The sequence below is a fragment of the Homo sapiens genome, chromosome X (genome assembly GCF_000001405.40).
Source record: "Homo sapiens chromosome X, GRCh38.p14 Primary Assembly".
Classification (NCBI taxonomy): domain Eukaryota; kingdom Metazoa; phylum Chordata; class Mammalia; order Primates; family Hominidae; genus Homo; species Homo sapiens.
The window spans coordinates 1,787,016-1,814,486 of NC_000023.11; positions in this window are offsets into that span (position 1 = coordinate 1,787,016).

A 27,471-nucleotide genomic window follows, 5' to 3' on the forward strand; every position below is an offset into this window, starting at 1 on the left:
CCCACTGGTCCCAGAGATTTTTATGGATAGCATGCTGATCTTCCATGCCCTGAGGCTTGGGGTCCTGTGTCCAGCATTCCCCACCAACTGGGCAGATGCTGCTGGATTTATGTCAACAGCGAGTTCTGCAGGCACACCTCTAAAACACAGTCTCATAGTGTCTTCTGTTTTCAGGAACAAATACAAATTTTCTTCTCACATAAGTTATATCATGAACATGAGCATTTAACAAGGGACGGTGTGTGTGTGCGAGCACGTACATGTTGTATGTTGTGTGTTTTGTGTGTGTATGAGAGAGACACCACAGACACACTAGCCCCATGAAAGGCCAGGGCAGTGAGGCCTGGACCATGGTCTGCTAAGGACCTGGTGTGGCACACTGATGGTTATCACAAGTGGCCTGGGAGGTGTTCTGTTGGCCCCAGGGGTTCACTGACCATCATCACAGGTGGCCTGTGATGTGTTGACTTGGTGGGGCCCACTGACCACCATTGCTGGTGGCCTTAGAGGTGATCTGTTGACCCCAGGGGCTCACTGGTGACCACTGCCGGTAGCCTGGGAGGTGGTCTGTTGACCTTGGGGACTCATTGATGACCATTACAGGTGGCCTGGGAGATGGTCTGTTGACCCTGGGGAGTCACTGATGACCATTTCAAGTGGTCTGTTGACCTTGGGGGCTCACTGACGGCCATTGCAGGTTGTCTGGGAGGTGGTGTGTTGACCTTGTGGGCTCACTGATGGCCATTGCTGGTGGCCTTGGCGATGATGGTCTGTTGACCCCAGGGGCTCACTGGTGACCACTGCAGGTGGGCTGGGAAGTGGTCTGTTGACCTGGGGACTCACTGACCACCATTGCTGGTGGCCTTGGAGATGGTTTGTTGACCTTGGGGACTCACCACCATTGCAGGTGACTTGGAGATGGTTTGTTGACCTTGGGGACTCACTGACCACCACTGCAGGTGACTTGGGAGATGGTTTGTTGACCCTGGGGACTCACTGGTGACCATTACAGGTGGGCTGGGAAGTGGTCTCTTGACCTGGGGACTCACTGACCACCACTGTTGGTGGCCTTGGAGATGGTTTGTTGACCCCAGGGGCTCACTGATGACCATTGCAGGTGGCCTGGGGGATGGCCTATTGACTGGGCACATCCTACTGATTCACTGCAGAAGACGGGCAATTTGCTGAGCACCTAGAAGGGCCTATCAGTGCCAGGGTTAGTGGGTCCAACCTCAAGGTCCTGCACCTAGAGGACCTAACACAGACAATGTTCTGCTGGCTGCTGAACACTTGGACCTAACCCTGACCATCTTCTGCACATTGCCCAGGACTAGTTGGCCCCACTTCTTCTCTTCTCAGAGCCCACGATAGGCCCTGTGGTCACTCCCTCTGCAGAGGTGGAACTGAAATTCCCTCAGGTCACATTCCTGGTTATGCAGGAAGCTGAGAATGAGACAGGAATTCCAAACCCAGGTCAGTGGCCTAAATATGGTCCTGTGGGTCTGACCACAGGCAGTTACAAGGCTGGAACCCAGGGGAAAGCTGCCTTCCCACATCGCGCTGGGTGCACACCTGGAGCATTACACAGCTTGGGGGGATGAAGGGTAAGACCTCAGGCCCCTGGGCAGCCATGCTCTTATGAGTATGTATATCCTGGAGCAGGTCCTGCCACTTCAGGCCTCCTTACTAGTGGTGGAAGAGGCAGGTGCCTGAGCCCCTCTTCCCCATTCTGACTTGTACCTTTTGACTCCTAGCCCTTTCCACTCTCCCTCCCCAGACCTCCTAGTTCAGGACATGCCTGAACACCTCCGGTAACCTTCCCATGTGTAGTTTCCAGTATACCAAGAGGAGCTTGTGCGGTGGTTGAGCTTTAAGCAGCAGAAAGTTTCTCAGCAATTTGCCTCGTATATATTGGTATTGGTGTGCTCCAGGGAGACAGAACCAATTGTATCATTTCACGATAAGAAGAGGTTCTAAGTCGGGCGCAGTGGCTCACACCTGTCATCCCAGTACTTTGGGAGGCTGAGGTGGATGGCTGAGGTCAGGAGTTCGAGACCAGCCTGGCCAACATGGTGAAACCCCGTCTCTACTAAAAATACAAAAATTAGCCAGGCGTGGTGGTGGGTGCCTGTAATTCCAGCTACTCGGGAGGCTGAGGCAGGAGAATCGCTTGAACCCGGGAGGTGGAGGTTAAAGTGAGCCGAGATTGCGCCATTGCACTCCAGCCTGGGTGACAAGAGCGAAACTCTGTCTCAAAAAAATAAAGTAAAATAAAATAAAATAAATAAAATAAAGAAAAGGTTCTAAGCCGGTCATGGTGGCTCAAGCCTGTAATCCCAGCATTTTGGGAGGCTGAGGTGGACAGATCACTTGAGGTCAGGAGTTCGAGACCAGCCTGGCCAACATGGTGAAACCCCATCTCTACTAAAAATACAAAAAATTAGCCGGGCGTGGTGGCGGGTGCCTGTGATCCCAGCTGCTTGGGAGGCTGAGGCAGGAGAATCGCTTGAACCTCGGAGGTGGAGATTGCAGTGAGCTATCGTGCCACTGCACTCCAGCCTGGGCGGCAGAGCCAGTCTCAAAATATATATATATAAATATATATATATGTGTGTGTGTGTGTGTGTGTGTGTATGTATATGTATGTGTGTATATCTACATGCACACGAGTTTGTATGTATATATGTGTGTCTACATGCATGAATGTTTGACATATGTACATGTATATGTAGACATATATTGTATATGTATATACATATATGTATACACATACACGTGTATATGTATACATATATTGTATATGTATAAATATACATATATGTATACATATACACGTGTATGTGTATACATATGCATATACACATATATGTGTATATGTATAAATATGCATATATGTATACACATACACGTGTATATGTATACACAAGCATATATGTGTATGTATATGTCAAACATGTGTATGCATGCAGACACACACACACACACACACAAATATACGTCCAAAGACAGCATCTGAAGGACTTCAGGCTAAACCTACCTGGTGGAAGAAACTATTCTCTTAACTCTCATTTCCAAATGAGAAGTATATTTAAGATGGGTGTACTTCCCTCACGGTGAAATGGTTTTCAACTTCTCAGGGAGAGAAGTCTTATTTCCTCTTTGCCTTTCTCCCCCCATTTTCCCTTTCTTTCCTCTTCCACATAGAGCATTTTAGATGCGTCCAGGGGGCCATGGTCTGTCACTCACTCACTTCTCTTTAGCTTACAGAAAGACAACATGCTATGAAAAAGAAAGAAAAAATCTCTCTTCTCAGTTTCTGATGTTTGCTTATCTGTTATTCTTGTAGATGTATATTGCCAGATTTGTATATGTCAATGTGTTATGGAAATTTTAACAGATATAAAAAGTATAAACAATAGTGAATTTCAGCCAGGTGTGGTGGCTCACGCCTGTAATCTCAGCACTTTGGGAGGCCAAGGCGGGTGGATCACAAGGTCAAGAGATCAAGGCCATCCTGGCCAACATGATGAAATCCCCACTCTACTAAAAAGGCAAAAAATTAGTCAAGTCATGGTGGCGTGTGCCTGTAATCCCATCTACTCGGGAGGCTGAGGCAGGAGAATGGAGTGAACCCAGGAGGTGGAGGTTGCAGTGAGCCGAGATCACGCCACTGCACTACAGCCTGGGCGACAGAGCAAGACCCCGTCTAAAAAAAAAAAAAAAAAAAAAAAAACAGAATAGTGAGTTTCAGCCAGGTGTGGTGGCTCATGCCTATGATTCCAGCACTTTGGGAGGCCGGAGAATTACTTGAGCCCAGGAGGTCGAGGCTGCAGTGAGCCAAGATCACGTCAAGGCACTCCAGCCTGGGTGATGGAGCGACGTTCTGTCTCGAATTTTTAAAACAAGAAGGGTGAGTTTAAAAGCTTGTGTACCTGCGCAGAACTTCAAGAAAATATTGCAATGTTATCTTCTTCACTTTCAGCCAGAAACTTAGCCAGGTGTGGTGGCAGGTGCCACCTGGAGATCTGGATGGGGGTCGTATGAGAACATCACGTTCTTTTTCTGAGCCTCTGGTATCCAGCCTAGCCTGTAGGCATTGCTTCCTCCGATGGGCAGTTTGTGCCTCTGGAAATCACCCTTCTACCTCCCATACCCCCCATCCCAATATCTCTGTGTGCTTGGCACATAGGAGGTGGGACATTTGGTAGAGAAAATACGTGCTGAAGCAAATGGAGTGAAATTGGGGAATCTGATAGAAGCAAATGGAGTCAAATCTGGGAATTTGATAAGCCTCCCATTCACACTGGGGATACTGGGACCAGATCCAAAGCCAGCAGCATTGAAACAGCGGTTGAAGCAGCGTTCAAACAGTATTGAAACAGATTTGTGGACACCGCAGTCGTGCATGCATTCCTCATGAGGAAAGGCTGTCACTCTTTAAATTTCTCCCTGACTTGGGTGTCTGCAAATATCCATGAGTCTTATTCTCTACGTGGACACACAGATGTCCACTCGGATACCTCAGCCGTAGAAGAATCACCAAGCATCTATGACCCACATTGTTTATCTATTTATCTTGCCAGTCGTTTTGTGGGGAGGAAGGGGGCTTGCTTTGTTTAAAAAATTATTTGAGGCCAGGCACGGTGGCTCACGCCTGTAACCCCAGCACTTGGGGAGGCTGAGGCTGGCGGATCACCTGAGGTCAGGAGTTCGAGACCAGCCTGGCCAACATGGCGAAACCCCGTCTCTACTAAAAATACAAAAATTAGCCAGGCGTGGTGGCAGGTATCTGTCATCCCAGCTACTCAGGAGGCTGAGGCAGGAGAACTGCTTGAACCCGGGAGGTGGAGGTTGCAGTGAGCCAAGATTGCGCCACTGTGCTTCAGTCTGGGTGACAGTGCGAGACTCTGTCTCAAAAAAAAAAAAATTTGAAGTAGTGTACAAGAATGTAGGAGAGAAAAAAACCCTAATCCACAGAGCATCGAGTTCATTATAAATACACACGAGACTGACTCGTCTTCTCTGGGAAGATGACAAGAGTTGGAAAGGCCCTGACTTGTGATTGGAAGGAAGGCTTCAGGTACTTGGAGTGAAAATGAGAATTAAAGGCACAAGAAAACAGTTATTTTGCAACAGGAATATATTTGGCAGGGACCTCCAAATCCCAGTTGTGGACCCATTGCTGGCTGCAAGTACAGGATCTCAAACATGGTTTATCTATGTTGCCTATATTTTTTGGAGAGGAAGCGGGCTTGCTTTGTTTAAAAAATTATCTGAGGCCAGGCACGGTGGCTCACACCTGTAACCCCAGCACTTGGGGAGGCCGAGGCTGCTGGATCACATGAGGTCAGGAGTTCGAGACCAGCCTGGCCAACATGGCGAAACCCCGTCTCTACTAAAAATACAAAAATTAGCTGGGCATGGTGGTGGGCACCTGTAATTCCAGTTACTCAGGAGGCCAAGGCAGGACAATTGCTTGAACCCGGGAGGCGGAGGTTGCAGCGAGCCGAGATTGTGCCATTGCACTCCAGCCTGAGTGACAGAGCAAGACTGGCTCAAAAAAAAAATTATTTGAAGTCGTTTACAAGAATGTAGGAGAGAAGACTGGGAAGATTGGCATCTTGGGAAGATGCCAAGAGTTGGAAAGGCCCTGAGTTATGACTGGAAGGGAGGCTTCAGGTACTCGGAGGAAACATGGGGATTAAAAGCACAAGAAAACAGTCATTTTGCAACAGGAATATATCTGGCAGGGACCTCCAAATCCCAATTGTGGACCCATTGCTGGCTGCAAGCACAGGCTCTCAAACCTGGTTGGGCAGTGGGGACCCTCTGGGCAGAATCACCTCCATCCCACCTGGGTTTCCACTTTAAACCCCCCAGTGGGGATTTTCCCATTCTGGAGACCTGGATGGGGTCCTCTGAGAACATCAGGCTCTTTTTCTGAGCCTTTGATCTCCAGCCTAGCCTGAATCAGGCTGGATGTCAGAGGTGCATCCTCCTTAGAATGAAGGAAGAAGGGACTTGGTAATGTTCTATGTACACACGGCAGGGTGATGCTTTGGGGTGTTTGTAAACGAGGTTTCTCCCTCTCATTCAGTTGCTCATCTTCCCTTTCACCCACTGCCCTGCCAACTAATTTGAGTAGCCTGATGGTGCTTGCTTCATCTCGCCAGGGGAGGGATGGGTTAGACCAGAGAGATGGAGAAAAACCAGCCTCTCCCTCGCTTGACTTCAAGGTCTGTTTTCAAGAGGGAGGCGCGCGTGGGTTTGGGTTAGACCTAAAGTGGTTGATGCTTAGAGGGAGGGATTTCTTTGCTCTCAGACTAGGGGGCAGAGATGAGGTAGCGAGGATGGAATATAGAGGTGATTGAAGGTATCTGGAAAGATATGCGTGGGCAATATGCAAATATTACACCATTTTATATAAGGGACATCCATGAATTTTACTAGCATCTGCTGAGTGTCCTGACATCAATCCTCCACAGATAACAAGGGATGACTGTATATAGATGACTTAGAGATACAGAAAGATATATAGAGAGATAGGGCGATACAGAGATGAAAGATTAATTGATGATAGATACCTGGATGGATAGATAGGAGATAGATAAATACATAGATACATAGATAGACGACAGATAGATACATAGATAGATAGATACATACATAGATAGATGATAGAAAGATAGATGATAGATGGTAGATAGATAATAGATAGATAAGTAAATAGATAGTAGACAGAAGATAGACAGTAGACAAGTAGCTGGTAGGTAGATAGTAGAAAAGTGGTAGATAGATAGATAGAAGACAAGTCGCTGGTAGGTAAGTAGACAGACAGTAGACAGGTAGCTGTGTAGACAGATGATAGATAGATAGATAGATAGATAGATAGATAGATAGATAAGATAGATAGATAGAAACATAGATGATAGGAGACAGGTACATAGATATCTGGATGGATAGATAGGAGATAGACGACAGATAGATAGATAGATGATAGATGGTAGATAGATAGATAATAGATAAGTAAATAGGTAGATAGTAGACAGAGATAGAAGATAGATAGTAGACAAGTAGCTGGTAGGTAGATAGGTAGATAGAAAAGTAACTGGTAGATAGATAGAAGACAAGTAGCTGGTAGGTAGGTAGATAGAAAGACAGTAGACAGGTAGCTGTGTAGACAGATGATAGATAGATAGATAGATAGATAGATAGATAGATAGATAGATAGATAGATGATAGACAAAGATAGATAGTAGATAGATAGTAGATAGAAAGATAGATAGATGGATAGTAGATAGATAGATAGAGATAGATGATAGATAGGAGACAGGTACATAGATTGATGTCGTGTTGATTGACAGATGATAGAGCCATATACACTGAGGTGTGTACACACACATGTATAAACGCACATTGGATATACAGATGTATATATAGAGAGAGAACCATATGCACAGAGTCATGTACTCATATGCCCCCCACTGCTGTGTCACTGCGTACATTTTCAGAAATCCACCTATTTCTGAGTCGAGGAAGAACCTGCTCTCCCAGGGGTAAAGGGGTGTGCCGCTCCAGGATGACATGCCACCCTGGTGTTGACTCTTTCAGCCTCACACACAAACCCCACCCGCTGGGTCAGGGTTTACACCCTCTTCAGTGAATGTCCTGGATTTCCTGGAGAGGCTCAGCCAGGCAGGAGGGGACCAGGAGAGGCGCTGGCCATTCCTCCAGTTTGGTCACCAAGAGGTGGGTGGTTTCAGCCTGAAAGATGCACCTGCAGGACCTGTGGGTTGAGTAGATGGTGTCACCTGAGGGGCAGGGGATGACCAGCGTCCCTGGGTGGAGAGGGCTGCGTGGACAGTGCACTCATCCCACCTTGCTGCCCCTCAGTCGCCTGGCCACAGAGACTCCGGGTCCACCACATTGAACCCCCACTGCCACGATGCCCTTCACCCTTGACGTGAAAGTCCCTTCCTCACCTGAGCCCGCCAACGTCTCTCCATCCTCACTTCCTCATCTCTGCCCCCAGTCTATCTACTTATCTATTTATCTATGTATCTATCTATCTACTATCTATGTATCTATCTATCTACTATCTATCTATATCTATGTATCTATTATCTATCTATATCTATGTATCTATGTATTATCTATCTATATCTATCTATGTATCTATCTCTATCTACCTATCTATCATCTATGTATCTATTTATCTATCTAGCTATCTATGTATGTATCTAGTATCTATCTATCTAGCTATATATCTATGTATCTATGTATTATGTATCTATCTTCTATCTATATCTATCTATGTATCTATCTATCTCTATCTATCATCTATGTATCTCTCTATCTAGCTATCTATGTATCTAGTATCTATCTATCTAGCTATCTATGTATGTATCTATGTATTATCTATCTTCTATCTATCCATCCATATATCTATCATCAGTCAATCAATCCTTTCATCGCTGTATCGCTCTATCCAGGTATCTTATCTATTTATTTTTCTCTTTCTATATTTCTGTATCTCTAACTCATCTATATACAGTCATCCCTTGTTATCTGTGAGGGATTGGTTCCAGGACACACGACAGATAATAGTAAAATTCATGGATGTGGCTGATATAAAATGGTGTAGTATTTGCATATTAGCTATGCACATCCTTCCAAATACCTTCAATTGCCTCTATATTACTTATAATACTTAATACAATGTAAGTGCTATGTAAATAGTTACTATACCATATTGTTCAGGGAATAATGTTTTAAAAAGTCTGTACATGTTCAGTACAGATGCATTTTTTTCCAAATATTTTTCATCTGTGGTTGGTTGAATCCACGGATTTGGAAGCCACAGATATGAACAGCCAACTCTGTGTGAGTGTGTGGGTATATATACATATGTATGTGTGTATACATGTATATGTATATATGTATGTGTATATATGTATGTGTGTATATGTGTATATATGTGCGTATAGATGTATGTGTGTATATATGTACATGTATATATGTGTGAGTGTATATATGTGTGTGTATATGTATATGTGCATTTATATGTATATATGTATATGTGCATATATGTATGTGTATATATGTACACGTATATATGAGTATATATGTGATTTGTATATATGTATGTGTATATATGTGCGTATGTATATGTATATGTGTGTATGTTTATATGTACATGTGTATATATGTACATGTGTGTATATATGTATATATGCATGTGTGTATATCTGTCTGCATGTACATGTATGTGTGTATATATGTATATGCACATGTCTGTGTGTACATATGTGTGTATATATGTATATGTTTATATGCACGTATGTACATGTATATATGTGTGTATATATGTACATGTATATATATATGTGTGTATATATGTGTGTATATATGTATGTGTGTGCATATGTATGTGTATGTGTGTGTGTAGATATGTATATGTACGTGTGTATATATGTGTGAATATGTATGTGTGTATATATGTATATGTGTATTCGTGTATGTATACACTACATTTATTCTATTTATCTCATAATTATGTATAAAACATGTAAGACAGATGCTAATTGTTGCCGCTCACCTACCTACATTTTCTCTTTAAGAAACATACGGTTTCAGATTTTAAAATGAAACAGACTTGAAGCCATGTGGAAATTTTTGACTGAAGTTCTCCAGTGGCCAATTTCTGTTTAAAAAATGTAAAAAGACCAAGGATTTCACACACTCCATCAGGCACCTAATAAAGAGACTCATGCATCTGTCAGTAACAGCAGCCCAGCAACCCAGCATTGCACGGTTAGAATATCTACTAGGAAGTGAAAAATAAATAACCGTTGTATCTGAACCTTTACAGGGTCTCAAACACCTGCCTGATTCACAATGGTGCATAATTCCAGTGATTTTCCATTTATGAAGGTTCTTGGAGCACCTGGTCTCTCTTCCCTATGATCATGCAAAACCAGCTTTCAAAACCTTTTCATCGGCGGATTAAACAGATTCTCATTTCCCCTCTCCCTTAATACGTTCCAAGGTGTTTGAAAGAGTCGTGGATACATTTTAATTTTCTTAATCATAGTTTTGCGGCGAATTGTCACGTCACCGGGTTCATTTGTTTGGAAGTGTATTGAAGCTTCCTCTTCTGTAACGTTATGAGATAATTGCTTTCTATCCAAATCCCATTCTGTGAACCCATGTGTCCAGTGGAGGGTGCCTGTACCCAAGCTAAGTTACTCTTTCAGCCCGGGAGGCTCTAAAATCCAAAGAATGCTTGCTTGTCTAAAACGTCCAGTTCAATATCTGGACCTTTGCTTTTTCTTTTCTTTTTTATTTTTAACCAGTAGCCTAGTTAGAAGGTCCCTTTCTCTTTATTTTTATTTTACTTTAACTTCTGGGATACATGTGCAGAATGTGCAGGTTCGCTACAGAGGTATACATGTGCCATGGTGGTTTGCTGTACCTGTGAACCCGTCATCTAGGTTTTAAGCCCTGCATGCATTAGGTATTTGTCCTAATGCTCTCCCTCCCCTTGCCCCCCACCCCCTGACAGGCCCCTGTGTGTGATGTTCCCCTCCCTGTGTCCATGTGTTCTCATTGTTCAACTCCCACTTATGAGTGAGAACATGCGGTGTTTGGTTTTCTGTTCTTGTGTTAGTTTGCTGAGAATGATGGTTTCCAGCTTCATCCATGTCCCTGCAAAGGACATGAACTCATTCTTTTTGATGGCTGCATAGTATTCCATGGTGTATATGTGCCACATTTTCTTCATCCAGTCTATCATTGATGGACATTTGGGTTGGTTCCAAGTCTTTGCTATTGTGAATAGTGCTGCAATAAACATACGTGTGCATGTGTCTTTATAGTAAACTGATTTATAATCCTTTGGGTGTATACCCAGTAATGGGATTGCTGGGTCAAATGTATTTCTGGTTCTAGATCCTTGAGGAATCGCCACACTGTCTTCTACAATGGTTGAACTATTTTTCATATCGTTTCTATTGCATAAGCACTTTCTTAAATAAAAAAAGTTTTATTCCTCCTTCCCAATATGTAGGCATTTTCTTAGCTTTTTTGAATTGCACTAGAGGGTCCTACAGTTTGCTTTTGTGTGAGACAGGACACTTTGCTGTGCTCCTGATCTTACCAGGAAGGCATTTAGCCCTTCCCTGCTAAGTATAATCAATAGCTGTCAGTTTGTAATGTGCTTTATAAGGTGGAAGAAATTGTCTCTATTCCTACTTTAAGATATATATATATATTTTAACATGAATGTGTACATTTGTCAACTGTCTTTTTGGCATTTACTGTAATCATATGCTTTTAATTCTTTATTCTGTTGTCATGGTGAGTTACCTTGATCTGCTTCAAAGGCTGAGCCAACCCACATTTCTGGGATAGATTCTTTCCTTCCCCAACCCTTGGTCATGAAATATTCTCTTCTCCTCTCCTCTCTCCTCTCTTCTCCTCTCTCCTCTCTTCTCCTCTCTCCTCTCCTCTCTCCTCTCCTCCCTCCTCTCCTCTCTCCTCTCCTCTCCTCTCCCCTCCCCTCTCCTCTCCTTTTCGGTGTGTGATGTTCCCCTCCCTGTGTCCATGTGTTCTCATTGTTCAACTCCCACTTATGGGTGAGACTCTCTTTTCTTTCTTTTCTTTTCATTTATGTTTTTGAGACGGAGTCTCACTCTTGTCATCCAGGCTGGAGTGCAGTGGCGCGATCTCAGCCTCACTGCAACCTCCGCTTCCCGGATTCAAGCGATTCTCCTGCCTCAGCCTCCCGAGTAGCTGGAATTACAGGCACCCAGCAGCACATCTTGCTAATTTTTGTTATTTTTAGTAGAGACGGGGTTTCGCCATGTTGACCAGGATGGTCTCAATCTCTTGACCTGGTGACCCGCCTGTCTCGGCCTCCCAAAGTGTTGGGATGACAGGTGTGAGCCACTGCACCCGGCCAATACTATTGTTTTAGTACTGGTGGTATTAATCTGTCAACATCTTGCGAAGCCAGCATTCCCTGGATACTAACACCAGACTAGGACATTGTCAGACTCTAAAACGAATGGCAAAGATTCCTCATGAGCAAATATACAAAAAGTCTTTAATATAATGGGCTGAGAAGTATATGCTTCCATTTTCTGGAAGCATTTCTATAGCATTGAGGTTTTTTTTTTCTTGAATAATTGGTAGAATTTACCTGTACAGCTGTTTGGGGTTGGAGTTTTCTTTGGGAGTATTTAATGGCAAATTCATTTACCTTATTCGATATATAAGAGAGCAGTGAGTGAGCTGAGCCTCTTTCAAACCAGAACCCCTGTGGGATCCCAAGACCTTCCACTGAGCCAGATGCTGGAATCCACCTCAGTACCCCACGGAACTCAAAGAACAGGCTTAAACAGTGAGAAAAACACCCTTTCGAGTCAGATTAAAAACTGGGACATTTCCATGTTTCTGTTTGACGCCATTTGGTGCGTGTATAAATATAATCTCAAGGGATAACTTCCAGTTCCAGGCAGAGCAAAGGACCATGACGTCTCAGCCCAGAGAGAAAGGCTTTGAATATCTGCCATCCTCTCAGGAAAAAATAAAGGCGTTTTTCCATAGTTCCCTTCCGACTTATCTTCCCCTTGACATATTGCATCAAATGCTTTAAAATTTTATTTTTGGTGTTGGCTCATGACTCACATCCATGCTTCAATGTCTGAAATCTAATTAATATTCTCTGAGTCCCCCTGTTGAGTTAGCCTGAAGTCCCAGCCTTTGAGCAGTGCTCAGATGTTACAGGAAGAAGAAAGTAATCGAAACTTGGTGAGTTTGAGACACTTTTGAAATGTTCCTCTGCGTTTAGAGATCCTGCTAGTTCTCATCTCTTGCCAGTTCCAAAGTGTAACACATTCTGCTTCCCTGAGCTAATAAAAATCAATTTCTGCTGCTCACAGTTTGTCTTTCTCAGAAAGACGGGTCTCAGGCTATTTGTCTTGGCCAGGTGCCACAGAAGTAACCGCAGGGAGAAACTGGTCTTGGATGTTCTGCCCGTAAGATTAGTCATCTTGGCCGGGCACGGTGGCTCACGCCTGCAATCACAGCACTTTGGGAGGCCGAGGTGGGCGGATCACTTGAGGTCAGGAGTTCGAGACCAGCCTGGACAACATGGTGAAACCCCGTCTCTACTAAAAATACAAAAAAATTACCCAGGCGTGGTGGCGGGTGCCTGTAATCCCAGCTACTCAGGAGGATGAGATGGGAGAATCGCTTGAACCTGAGAGGCAGAGGTTGCAGTGAGCCGAGAACACATCATTGCACTCCAGCCTGGGTGACAAGAGTGAAATTCCATCTCAAAAAAAAATTAATCATCTCCTGGGTTTTTTGTTTATTTTTATTTTTATTTTTTTTGATATGGAGTCTCACTCTCTGTCGCCCAGGCCGGAGTGCAGTGTCGCGATCTCAGCTCACTGCAACCTCCGCCACCCAGGTTCAAGCGATTCTCCTGACTCAGCCGCCTGACTAGCTGGGACTACAGGCACATGCCACCATACCTGGCTAATTTTTGTATTTTTAGCAGAGATGGGGTTTCACCATGTTGGCCAGGCTGGTCTCGAACTGCTGACCTCAAGATCCGCCCGCCTCAGCCTCCCCAAGTGTTGGGTTTACAGGCGTGAACCACTGTGCCTGGCCAGAATGATCTGGTTTTAAACATCAATACTGCTGAGGTTGAGAAAATCTTCTTTAGCATGAGAGACTCAGTCTACATATTCTCTCTCTGTCTTTCATCTGTCACTATTGTTATTATTCTATCTGTTCATCTATCTATTAATATCTACATATCTTCTATATATCATCTATTATCTAACATCTACCTATATCTATATATCATGTATTATCACGTATCTATCCATTGTCTATTTCTATCATTTATCATTCTGTGTATTGATCATCTTTTTTTCTATCATCTATGTAACTCATCTATCATCTGTCATGTCTATCATCTATTTTTCTATCATCTGTGCATTGATCGATCTAGCATCTATTATCCCTCTCTATCATCTATTGATCTATCTACATATCTATCCGTCTACCTACTTAGCATCTATCTGTCATCTATTGGTCTTTCTACATATCTACCTACCTACCTACCTACTCAGCATCTATGTATCTGTGTATCCATCTATCATCTATTGATCTTCCTACATATCTACTTACCTACCTACTCAGCATCTATGTATCTATCTATCATCTATTGATCTCTCTACATATCTACCTACTAACCTACTCAGCGTCTATGTATCTATGTATCTATCTATCATCTATTGATCTCTCTACATATCTACCTACCTACCTACTCAGCGTCTATGTATCTTTGTATCTAGCTATCATCTATTGATCTATCTACACATCTATCTACCTACTTAGCATCTATCATCTATTGACCTATCTATATATCTATCTACCTACCTACTCAGCATCTATTATCTATCTATCATCTATCTATCATCTATCTAATCTATCTATTGTCTATTGATCTATCTACACATCTATCTACCTACCTAGTTAGCATCTATCATCTGTTATCTATCTACATATGTGTCTACCTATCTACTTAGCATCTATCTATCATCTATTGATCTATCTATATATCTATCTATCTACCTACTTAGCATCTATCTCTGTATCATCTATTGATCTATCTACATATCTACCTACCTATCTACTTAGCATCTATCTATCACCTATTGGTCTATCTACATGTCTATATACCTACCTCCTTAGCATCTATCTATCTATCTATCTATCTATCTATCTATCATCTATTGATCCATCTACTTGTCTATATACCTACCTCCTTAGCATCTATCTAATCTATCATCTGTCTATCTATCTATCTATCCAGCTATCTCTCATCTATTTACCTAAGTATTCTCTCTCTCTCTCTCTCACTCTTGCTCTCTCCCCCTTGCTCTCTCCCTACTACCTATCTATTATATATCTATCTATGGCAGTTGCTAGCAACCAGGTACGATGTTTTGCCCTAGGGCACATTTGGCAATGTCTGAACATATTCTTGGTGTCACAAGGCTGTTTGGCACATCTTGTGTAATTATGAATTTCCCAGAACATAGGCTTTTATCAGGAAATCCTCATGGTTCTGCCCTCAGCATGTATCCCACAGGTGAGTACATTATGACCTCTAGGGTGCCCAGTGAAGTCTCAGCCCTCCACCACACACCCTGTGCTTGACTTTTGAAGCCATCTCTTCCTGGTCTTTCTGCCTCTTACCTGACCCTTGGTCTATCAACTGTAGATAATCCTGGGGAATAATCATGCTGTTACCTGAGTGGGCTGCTTTGAAGAATGTGTCCCAAATCCATCCAACGGGAACCTCAGAATGTGACCTTATTCGGAAATAAGATTTTTGCTGAAGTGATGAGTTAACACAACATCATATTGGAGGTGCATGGGCCTTAAGTCCAATGACAGGTGTCCTCACAAGAGACAGAAGAGGAGACACAGACACAGACGAGGAGGCCACATGGACATGGCGGCAGAGACTGGAATGATGTGGCCACAAGCCCATGGATGCCTGCCACCCCCAGGATCTGGGAGAGGCAGGAAGGATCCTCCCCTAGAACCTCCAGAGGGAGCTCAGCCCTGAGACACATTCAGTTCAGACTTGTGGTCTGCAGGACTGGGAGAGGATACATTTCTGTTCTACCTGTCTGACTATCAACTATCTATCATCTCTATTTATCTATCACCTCTATCTATCTATCGTCTATCCCTCATCTCCATCTATCTATTATCTATCGACCTATCATCAATCTATCATCTATTATCTATCTATGTATCTATCTATCCTTTCCATCTATCATGTCTATTTATCTAACCTGTCTATTATCTATGTATCTCTCACCTCCATCTATTATCTATCGATCTATCATCTATCTATCATCTATGTATCTCTCATCTCCATCTATTATCTATTGATCTATCATCGATCATGTGTTATCTGCCTATCTATCTATCATCTATTATCTGTCTCTCATCTCCATCTATTATCTATCGATTTATCATTTATCTATCATCTATTATGTGTCTATCTATCCTTTCCATCTATCATCTCTATTTATCTATCCTATCTATGTACCTCTCATCTCCATCTATTATCTATCGATCTATCATCCGTCTATCATCTATGTATCTCTCATCTCCATCTATTATCTATCGATCTATCATCTATCTATGATCTATGTATCTCTTATCTCCATCTGTCTATTATCTATTGCCTATTGATCCATCATTATCTGCCTATCTATCATCTATTATGTATGTATCGCTCATCTCCATCTATTTTCTATAGATCTATCATGTATCTATCATCTATTATGTATCTATCTATTATCTATGTATCTCTTATCTCCATCTATTATCTATTTTCTATAGATCTATCATCTATCTATCATCTATTATGTACGTATCTCTCATCTCCATCTATCTATTATCTATAGATCTATCATGTATCTATCTTCTATTATCTATCTATCTATCCTTTCCATCTATCATCTATTATCTATCTATCTATCTATCTATCTATCTACCCTTTCCATCTATGTATCATCTATCATTTACTGTGGTGTCCCGAGGATCACCCCCTGGGCTCTCATCAACAATGAGAATGAATCCCAGTGGACATCCTTTTGTTCAGGGTCTCCGGACACCATCTCTGGACACCCTCCTCTTTTCTAACTCAAACTGCCACAGACCAAGATAAACATTTCAGCTGGAATTTCCACTTTGTGACCCTGGAGGAAGAATTTCCTATCCTTCAGGTCCCAGTCTTGATTTAGTCATTTCTGCTGGCTAATTGCTCTGTGATTTGTTAATTACCCACTTGCTCTTCAGTGACCACAATTTAATCTCAACTTAACAGGGTCGCGCTCCATACTCAGACCTTGGCGGATGTTTTCTTACTGACCAAAGACTGGATTTCTCAGGCATGTGTTTTCAGACACTGCTCAGAATCTACAGGCAGGAATGGCAGAGCTCATTTCAGGTCTTAGGAGCTCAGCACAAAATTAGGTAGTGAGTTTTCTTTCCATGCACACCTTGCTGTTCAATTTTTTTTTTCTTTTTTTTAGACGGAGTCTTGCTCTGTCACCCAGGCTGGAGTGCAGTGGCACAATCTTGGCTCACTGCAACCTCCACTTCCCAGGTTCAAGCGATTCTCCTGTCTCAGCCTTCTGAGTAGCTGGGATTACAGGTGGGCACCACCACACCCGACTAATTTTTTGTATTCTTAGCAGAGACGGGGTTTCACCATGTTGGCCAGACTGGTCTCGAACTCCTGACCTCAGGTGATCCACCCCCTCAGCTTCCCAAAGTGCTGGGATTACAGGTGTGAGCCACCATGCCCAGCCCCAGAGTCAATTCTGATCATTCAGCGTGTAGAACAGCTCAGGAACCATGGATCTGGCTTGGTGTTTGCAGCCACCAGGTGCTTTCTCTATAGGCTGGTCCCCTTCCCATCTCTTCTTGTGGACTGGATTTGACCCCCTACCACCGCTCAGAGACACAGGTGGAAGCTCTGAGTCCACCATTACGACTGTATTTGGAGACAGGGTCTGTGAGGAGGTAACTGAGGTCAAATGTGATCATAAGTGTGGGGTTGTAACCTGGTAGAATTGTGTCTTTACAAGAAGAGTATTGGCTGGGCGAAGTGGCTCATGCCTATAATCTTAGCACTTTGGGAGGCCGAGGTGTGTGGATTGCTTGAGGTCAAAAGTTCAAGACCAGCCTGACTAACAAGGTGAAACCCCATCTCTACTAAAAATACAAAAAAAAAGTTTGTGGTTTTTTTTTTTGCGGTGGTGCATGCCTGTAATCCCAGCTACTCAGGAGGCTGAGGCAGGAGAATCCCTTGAACCTGGGAGGAGGAGGTTACAGTGAGCTGAGGTCGAGCCACTGCATTCCAGCCTGGGTGAGAGAGCAAGACTCCATCTCAAAAAAAAAAAAAAGAAAAGAAGAGGATCACCTTTTACCCTCAAGTAGACCCCACTGTCTTTTCTTTCTCTCTGTGTTTCCATGTCTTCTGGATATTTAACTCCCACTTATCAGTGAGAACAGGTCGTATTTCATTTTCTCTTCCTGTGTTAGTTTGCTGAGGGAAATAGTCTCCAGTTCCAGCCATGTCCTTGCAGAGGACATGATCTCATTTTTTTTTCTTTTTCTTTTTTTTTGAGACAGGGTTTTTGCTCTCGTTGCCCAGGATGGAGTGCAATGGCACGATCTCAGCTCACTGCAACCTCCGCCTCCCGGGTTCAAGCCATTGTCCTGCCTCAGCCTCCCGAGTAGCTGGGATTACAGGCATGCACCACCACGCCCGGCTAATTTTGTATTTTTAGTAGAGATGGGATTTCTCCATGTTGGACAGGCTGGTCTTGAACTCCCAACCTCAGGTGATCCACCCCCTTTGGCCTCCCGAAGTGCTGGGATTACAGGCGTGAGCCCCCACGCCTGGCCATCTTGTTCATTTTTATGGTTGTATAGTATTCCACAGTGTATAGCTACCACATTCTCTTTATCCGGTTTATCACTGATGGGCATTGATATTGATTCCATCTTTTTGCTGTTGTGAATAGTGACATGAACAGGTAGTTTTGAAAAGAAGGCATACGTATGGTCAAGAGTCATATGAGAAAAATTCTCAACATCACTAATCATTAGAGAATTGCAAATCAAAACCACAATGAGATACCATCTCACTTCAGTCAGAATGGCTATTACTACAAAATCGAAAAACAGCAGATGCTGACGAGGTTACAGAGAAAAGGGAACGCATATATGCTGCTGGTGGCAATATAAATTAGTTCAACCATTGTGGAAAGCACTGTGACAACTCCTCAAAGAACTAAAAACAGAATTACCATTCTACCCAGCAATCCCATGATTGGGTATATACCTGACGGAATATAAATTGTTCTAGTGTAAATGGCCGGGCACGGAGGCTCACGCCTGTAATCCCAGCACTTTGGGAGGCCGAGGCAGGTGGATCACAAGGTCAGGAGATCGAGACCAGCCTGAGCAAAATGGTGAAACCCCGTCTCTATTAAAAATACAAAAATTAGCTGGGCACGGTGGCTCACGCCAGGAATCCCAGCACTTTGGGAGGCCAAGGTAGGCAGATCACAAGGTCAGGAGATCGAGACCAGCCTGAGCAATATGGTGAAACCCTGTCTCTACTAAAAATACAAAAATTATCTGGCTCACGCCAGTAATTCCAACACTTTGGGAGGCCGAGGCAGGCAGATCACCTGAGGTCAGGAGTTTGAGACCAGCCTGGCCAACATGGTGAAACCCTATCTCTACTACAAATACAAAAATTAGCCAGGCGTGGTGGCTCACGCCTGTAGTCCCAGCACTTTGGGAGGCCGAGGCAGGCGGATCACAAGGTCAGGAGATCGAGACCAGCCTAACATGGTGAAACCCTGTCTCTACTAAAAATTCAAAATTTAGCTGGCTCACGCCAGTAATCCCAACACTTTGGGAGGCTGAGGCGGGTGGATCACCTGAGGTCAGGAGGTTGAGACCAGCCTGGCCAACATGGTGAAACCCCATCTCTACTACAAATACAAAAATTTGTCAGGCATGGTGGCTCACACTTGTAATCCCAACACTTTGGGAGGCTGAGGCAGGCGGATCACCTGAGGTCAGGAGTTTGAGACCAGCCTGGCCAACATGGTGAAACCCCATCTCTACTACAAATACAAAAATCAGCCAGGCATGGTGGCTCATGCCTGTAGTCCCAGCTACTTGGGAGGCTGACAGAGGAGAATCACTTGAACCCGGGAGGCAGGGGTTGCAGTGAGCTAAGATCCTGCCACTGCACTCCAGCCTGGGTGACATAGTGAGACTTGGTTTCAATAATAATAATAATAATAATAATAATAAATAAATTGTTCTAGCATAAAGACACGTGCGCACGAATGTTCATTGCAGCACTAACTTTTGGCTTTCTTTTCTGGTAGGATCCAAACGTTTTCACGGGTTGGTGCCATTTTATTCTGTTGTTAGCAAGCATCTATGACCTGTGGTGAGTTACTCCTAAGCAGTGGCTCTGAACTCTGGGTGCACAAAGGCATTTTATGGGAGCTTTTAGAAAATACTGAGGCTAGGATCCACCCCCAGAGACCCACGTTTATTTGATGGGAGGTTTCGGCTGGGTAACAGGAGTCCTAAGGTATCAGCAAGGGGTGGTGAAATGCAGAGAGTTTGAGAAACCGCTGAGCTAGCCAGGTGTTCTGCACCTTAACTCCGCCATCCCTAGTGGGTTGGGGGTGCCCTCAGGAGTCAGTGAGGAGCCTCCAGTTTGGACGCGGCTTCAGCAGCTTGGCTGCAAGACATCCCATCAATACAGGCCAGCCAAGATGAATCAATTTTCAGTTGCCTGTGGCCAGCTGCCCTGCAAAGCCAATTTGTAATCTGATCCCGTCCTTGTCCGGGGGAGCTTTCTTTTTTTTTTTTTTTTTTTTTTTTGAGACAGAGTCGTGCTCTGTCACCAGGTTAGAATGCAGTGAAGCTTTCAAATTTCCCTGGGATGCCTGGAAGCCTGTGGAGACAGAGAGGCTGTTTCTGTAGGGTTACCCGGTGGCCGCGCCAAAATGCTCAGCTCTGCGTTTCGGGGGGCCGGCATCCCCTGAGACTCAGTGAGAAAAGAAAACAAGGGCTAGAAGGAGGGTTAGTGGGACGGGTGAGAGGCTGTTTCAGTCATGGTATTCTGCAGTGTGCTGGCATACAAAATGCAGCATAGTGTCATGCTTTGTGTTATATGTACTTTATAACACCTATAAAACATCTATAAGATGCAGAATATATAATCGTGCAATTGTTTAAAAAGATATGTATATATAATATATATTATACATGGGATATATATGTTATAGATAAAGTATATATAAAGATATATATTATATATAAAATATATATTTATAAAGACATGTATCTTTATATATAAAAGATATATATTTATCCATAAAGACATCTTTATATATTAAAGATATATCTATTTATAAAGACATATATCTTTTATATATATAAAAGATATATATTTATAAATAAAGACATATATCTTTATACATATAAAAAGATATATGTCTTTATTATATATTATATATATCTTTATATATATTATATATCTTTATTATATATATTATATATAAGATATACATTTATAAATATATATCTTTTATATATATAAAAGATATATATTTATAAATAAAGATATATATCTTTATATATATATTAAAGATATACATATATATTTTTTCTTTTGCAGGAGTCTCGCTCTGTCACCCAGGCTGCAGTGCAGTGGCGCAATCTTCACTGACTGCAACCTCTGCCTCCCAGGTTTAAGCAATTCTCCTGCCTCAGCCTCCTGAGTATCTGGGACTACAGGCACCCGCCACCATGCCTGGCTAATTTTTGTATTTTTAGTAGAGACAGGGTTTCACCGTGTTAGCTAGGATGGTCTCAATCTCCTGACCTCGTGATCCACCCACCTTGGCCTCCCAAAGTACTGGGATGACAGGCGTGAGCCACCTCACCCGGCCTATATGTGTTTTATTATATATATTATACACAGAATAGTTCAACTTTGTAGAAAAAAATTAGATTTTCCCACCTTGCATACAGATATACATATATTCTATCCTCCAGGATAGTTACCATATTATACATTATAACATATCATGTGTTATGTATAAAGTATGATATGGTATATGTTTGCATATCCAGTAGTGCAATTTATAGAAAATATAAGGTTTTTCCAGATTGCAATATGGATGTATGTATATCTTATTATATATCATATTGTCTACAATAGTTATATGTGCATAATAGTAAATACGATATGTAATACAGATAATGCATTATATATATATATATATTTGGCTATATGATAGAATATATAATAGTGGACCTGGCGCGGTGACTCACTTCTGTAATCCCAGCATTTTGGGAGGCTGAGGCAGGTGGATCATGAGGTCATGAATTCCAGACCAGCCTGGCCAACATGGTGAAACCCTGTCTCTACCAAAAATACAAAAATTAGCCGGGCATGATGGCAGGCTCCTGTAATCCCAGCTACTCGGGAGGCTGAGGCAGGAGAATCACTTGAACCCAGGAGGCGGAGGTTGCAGTGAGCCGAGATTGCGCCATTGCACTCCAGCCTGGGCGACACAGCAAGACTCTGTCTGAAAAAAATTATATAATAGTGCAATTTCATAGGAAACATAGAATTTCCCCACTTTACATACAGATATAGTCTATTTCAAATTACATTATCTGCAATAGAAATCATATTAGTATGTATAACACTCTATAACATATATAGTTATGTGTATAATGGATAATGTATAATACATAGTTATATAATAGTTATGTCTATATAACACACGTGTGTACATATAACACCCATACATGTAAGTATATAACACACATATGTGTATATGACACACACATACGTGTATATGATGCATATACATATATGTATATAAGACATATATATATATATATATATATATATATGGGTTCACATAGAGGGTTTTGGCTTGGAGCTGGGCTCTTCAGCGAGCTGCTTCCAGCAGTGAATGGGACACGCACCCTGCACCACAGGCTCATGTGTATTAGAAATATTACTCAGTGCCCAGCACAGCACATCCCTGGGCTGGGGTGAGTCAATGGTGGGAGCTGCAGGCAGGGTGCACAGTGAGAGAGACCCTGATCCGGACCACTCAGCAAGGGCATGGTACAATGATTTTCATGTCTGTGTTCACCCAAGTTCATGTTGAATCCTTACTCTTGAGAAATGGCGTTAGGAGGTGGTGCTTTTGGGAGATGATAAGGTATTCATGTGGATTCCTCACTCTTGAGTGATGGCCTTCGGAGGTGATGGTTTTGGAAGATGATAAGGTCGTAAGGTTGGAGCCTCATTAAGGGCATTCCTGTCCTACAAAAGGGACCCCAGAGAGCTCCATCGTCCGTTCCACCGTGTGAGGATACAGACAGAAAGTGCTGTCTATGAACCAGGAAGTGGGGTTTCCACCAGATACTGAATCTCACGTCTTGATCCTGAACACTCAACCTCCAGAACTGTGAGATGTAAAGGTCAACTGCTTATCCTGAAACATGAAGCTTCCAGCCCCAGAAAAAGTGGGGAAAATGTTTATGGACAGAATAGTGACGTCCCACCATCATTCCTGTGTTGAAATCCTCAACCCCAAGAGGATGGTGTTGGGAGGTGGGGCCATTGGAAGGTGATGAGGTGGTGAGGGTGGGGCCCCATGAATGCAATTAGTGCCCTGAGAAAAGGGACCCCAGAGAGTTCCTTCACCCCTTCCACCAGGTGAGGACACAGCCAGAAGGCACCATCTATGAACCAGGAAGTGGGTCCTCACCAGACACCGAATCTGCCACGCCTTGATCTTGGACTTCCAGCCTCCTGAACTGTGAGCAAAAAATGTCAGTTGTTTATAAGCCACCCAGTCTATGGTACTGTTTTTTTGTTTTGTTTTGAGACGGAGTCTCGCTCTGTCACCAGGCTGGAGTGCAGTGGCGCGATCTTGGCTCACCGCAACCTCCGCTTCCCGGGTTCAAGCAATTCTCCTGCCTCAGCCTCCTGAGTAGCTGGGATTACAGGCACCTGCCACCATGCCTGGCTAATTTATTTGTATTTTTAGTACAGATGGGGTTTCACCATGTTGGCCAGGCTGGTCTTGAACTCCTGAGCTCAGGCAATCCACCCACCTCAGCCTCTCAAAGTGCTAGGATTAGGTATTTTTATAGCAGCCTGAAATGGACAAACACACAAAGATGAAAAAAATAACTCTAGTCGTGTTCTCCAGGGTTTAGAACAGCGGCAGAATAGGCAAGCTCATGCCTTGCAAATGGTGAGACCCTTTTTGACAAGTTGTTGGACAGCAATTCCTTTTCCATGAGATTTTTTTTTTTCCTAAGGATAAAAATGGAAAATGGACCGGGCGCGGCGGCTCACACCTGTAATCCCAGCACTTTGGGAGGCCGAGGTGGGAGGATCACGAGGTCAGGAGTTCAACACTAGCCTGGCCAATATGGTGAAACCCCGTGTCTACTAAAAATACAAAAATTAGCCGGGCGTCTTGGTGTGCACCTGTAATCCCAGCTACTGAGGAGGCTGAGGCAGGAGAATCACTTGAACCCGGGAGGCAGAGGTTGCAGTGAGCCGAGACAGAGCCACTGCACTATTCCAGCCTGGGTGACAGAGCAAGACTCCGTCTCAAAAAAAAAAAAAAAGGCAAATGAAACATTAAGGATCAGACTGAGTTGCCGTGCCATTTATACATGGAGAAAACTCCAGAGGGATCTCATGTCCAAGGACCAGGACACAGCCAGGTAACAGCAAAGCTTCCATGCAACTGACAGGGTGAAAAAAATAGCGTGGATGGTCCCCACCGAGAAAGAAACCCAACACATTTTCCAGTGGAGAAAATGGGACTGGTGGGAGAACATCACGACGACGACGGTGCAGCAACTCAATCTACGCGCAGAGGTTATCTGGATTCAGCAGAAAAGGAAGGTGGCAGGTGTGACCGGTTTGCGTTTCATAAATATTTGCAACGCTTTTTAATTAATTAGTTAGTTTACTATTTTTGAGATGGAGTTTCGCTCTTGTTGCCCAAGCTGGAGGGCGGTGGCGCGATCTCGGCTCACTGCAACCTCTGCCTCAGCTTCATGCAATTCTCCTGCCTCAGCCTCCTGAGTAGCTGGGATTACAAGCGCCTGCCAGCACGCCCGGCTAATTTTTGAATTTTTAGTACAGATGGGGTTTCTCCAAATTGGCCAGGCTTGTGTCAAACTCTTGACCTCAGGTGATCTGCCCGCCTCGGCCTCCCAAAGTGCTGGGATTACAGGTGTGAACCACTGCACCTGGCCACATTTTTCCCCTCTTACAATGACAGTATCATGTTGCATCAGGGGCCAACTCCGCTTCATTCTGACCAAATCTTTACGAATTGCATCTGCAAAGGCTCTATTTCCAAACGAGGTCACACTTGAGCTTCTGAGCAGACGTGAATTTGAGGGGTACATGTTTCAACCCCATTCACATCAACGTCTTTTTCTTCTTTAGCAATCAGTGAAGATAATAAGGTCATTTTTATTCTGAGAGGAAATGTGAGTTCGTCTCGTCTCAGAGGATTGCTCAGAGTCCAGTTGAGCATGGCTGGGGTGCTAGGCTGTGCCGTTCTTGCTCTAAGCCCGAGGGATAACTAATTTCCATTATTTTGTTCTTGCCGCCTCATAATTTGTCTACATGGGGGTGAGGAGAGTGAATGTCCTGTTACAGGAAGCTGTTGCGGGTGGACTATTTAAAGGGATTTCAGGCCAGGTGCGGCAGCTTATGCCTGTCATCCCACCACTTTGGGAGGCCGAGGAGGGTGGATCACAAGGTCAGGAGTTCGAGACCAGCCTGGCCGATATGGTGAAACTCCATCTCTACTAAAAATACAAAAATTAGCCGGGTGTGCTGTCGGGCGCCTGTAATCCCAGCTACTCAGGAGGCTGAGGCAGGAGAATCTCTTAGAACCCGGGAGGCGGAGGTTGCAGTGAGCCAGATTGGGCCACTGCACTCCAGCCTGGGTGACAAGAGGGAGACTCCATCTCAAAAAAAATCATAAAATAAAAAATTAATTAATTAAAAAGGCTAGGTGCAGTGGCTCATGCCTGTAATCCCAGCACTTTGGGAGGCCGAGGTGGGCAGATCACCTGAGGTTGGGGGTTTGAGACCATCCTGGCCAACATGGTGAAACCCCATCTCTAGTAAAATACAAAAATTAGCTGGGTGTGGTGTCGGGTGCTTGTAATCTCAGCTACTCAGGAGGCTGAGGCAGAATCTTAGAATCCAGGAGGTGGAGGTTGCAGTGAGCCGAGATCAAGCCATTGCACTCCAGCCTGGGCGACAAGAGGGAGACTCTGTCTCAAAAAAATACATAATATAATAAAAATAAATAAATAATAAAATAGGCCAGGCACGGTGGTTCACGCCTGTAGTCCCAGCACTTTGGGAGGCCAAGGTGGGTGGATCACCTGATGTCAGGTGTTCGAGACCAGCCTGGCCAACATGGTGAAACCCCATCTCTACGAAAAATACAAAAATTAGGTGGGTGTGGTGTCGGGCGCCTGTACTCCCAGCTTCTCAGCAAGGTGAGGCAGGAGAATCTCTGAGAATCCGGGAGGTGGAGGTTGCAGTGAACTGAGATTGGGCCACTGCACTCCAGCCTGGGCGACAAGAGGGAGACTCTGTCTCAAAAAATATATATATATAAAATAAATAATTAATAAAATAGGTCAGGTGCACTAGCTCATGCCTGTCATCCCAGCACTTTGGGAGGCCAAGGCAGGTGGATCACCTGATGTCAGGACTTCGAGACCAGCCTGGCCAACATGGTGAAACCTCGTCTCTACTAAAAATACAAAAATTAGCCGGGTGTGGTGTCGGGCGCCTGTAATCCCAGCTTCTCAGGAGGCTGAGGCAGGAGAATCTCTTAGAACCCCGGAGGCAGAGGTTGCAGTGAGCTGAGATTGCACCACTACACTCCAGCCTGGGCGACAAGAGGGGGACTCCATCTAAAAAAAAAAATGATAAAAAATAAATAATATAAAAAGTAAAATAAATAAAAGGATTTCAGAGGCATCTAACCAAGTAAGGACCCGGCCAAGCATGTATGTTGAAGACAAGCTGAGAAGGCTTTATAGCAATTAACAAAAAAAAACAGCTGGTAACAACAGCCAGTCTGGGGGTGTAAAAATGGAACTACCATTGGTAACAGGACCTTCCGTTCCTTCTAATGACCTCTTTGAAGGTACGAGTGATTTACACTCCATCATAACCCTCTTGGCCCCTGGGGCCTCGTCTCAGCATCCGTTCCGTAGGCAGGAGGCACGGTTCTCGGTGTTTCCGGAGACCAACCCTGTTTTGTTTCTTTGGTAAAGCATAGAGCGTGGTGCTATTGACGTCGGGAGAATACCACGGCTTTGAAAACATTATTCTCAGTGAACGGAAGCCTGTCGCTGAAGACCACGTATCCTGTGATTTCATTCAGATGAAAGGTTCAGAATAGACCAGTCCAGACACAAAGCAGATTAGTGGTTTCACAGGGGCTGGGGTGGGGGTGGGAAGGGAGTGGGGTCATGGGGAAAGAGTGTGGGGTTTCTTTGTCTTCTGCAAGGGATGAAAATATTGTAATCTACCCACAGTCATGCTTCTCTGCATCTGTGAATATCCTAAAAGCCACTCAATGGTAAATTGAATTGTCCATGACCAGAGGGGCCGGTGCACGTGACAGGCAGAGGTAGGAGACCCCATCCTAGCATCCACTGTTGACATTCTAAAAGTGACTGTCGGCCAGGCATGGTGGCTCACGCCTGTCATCCCAGCATTTT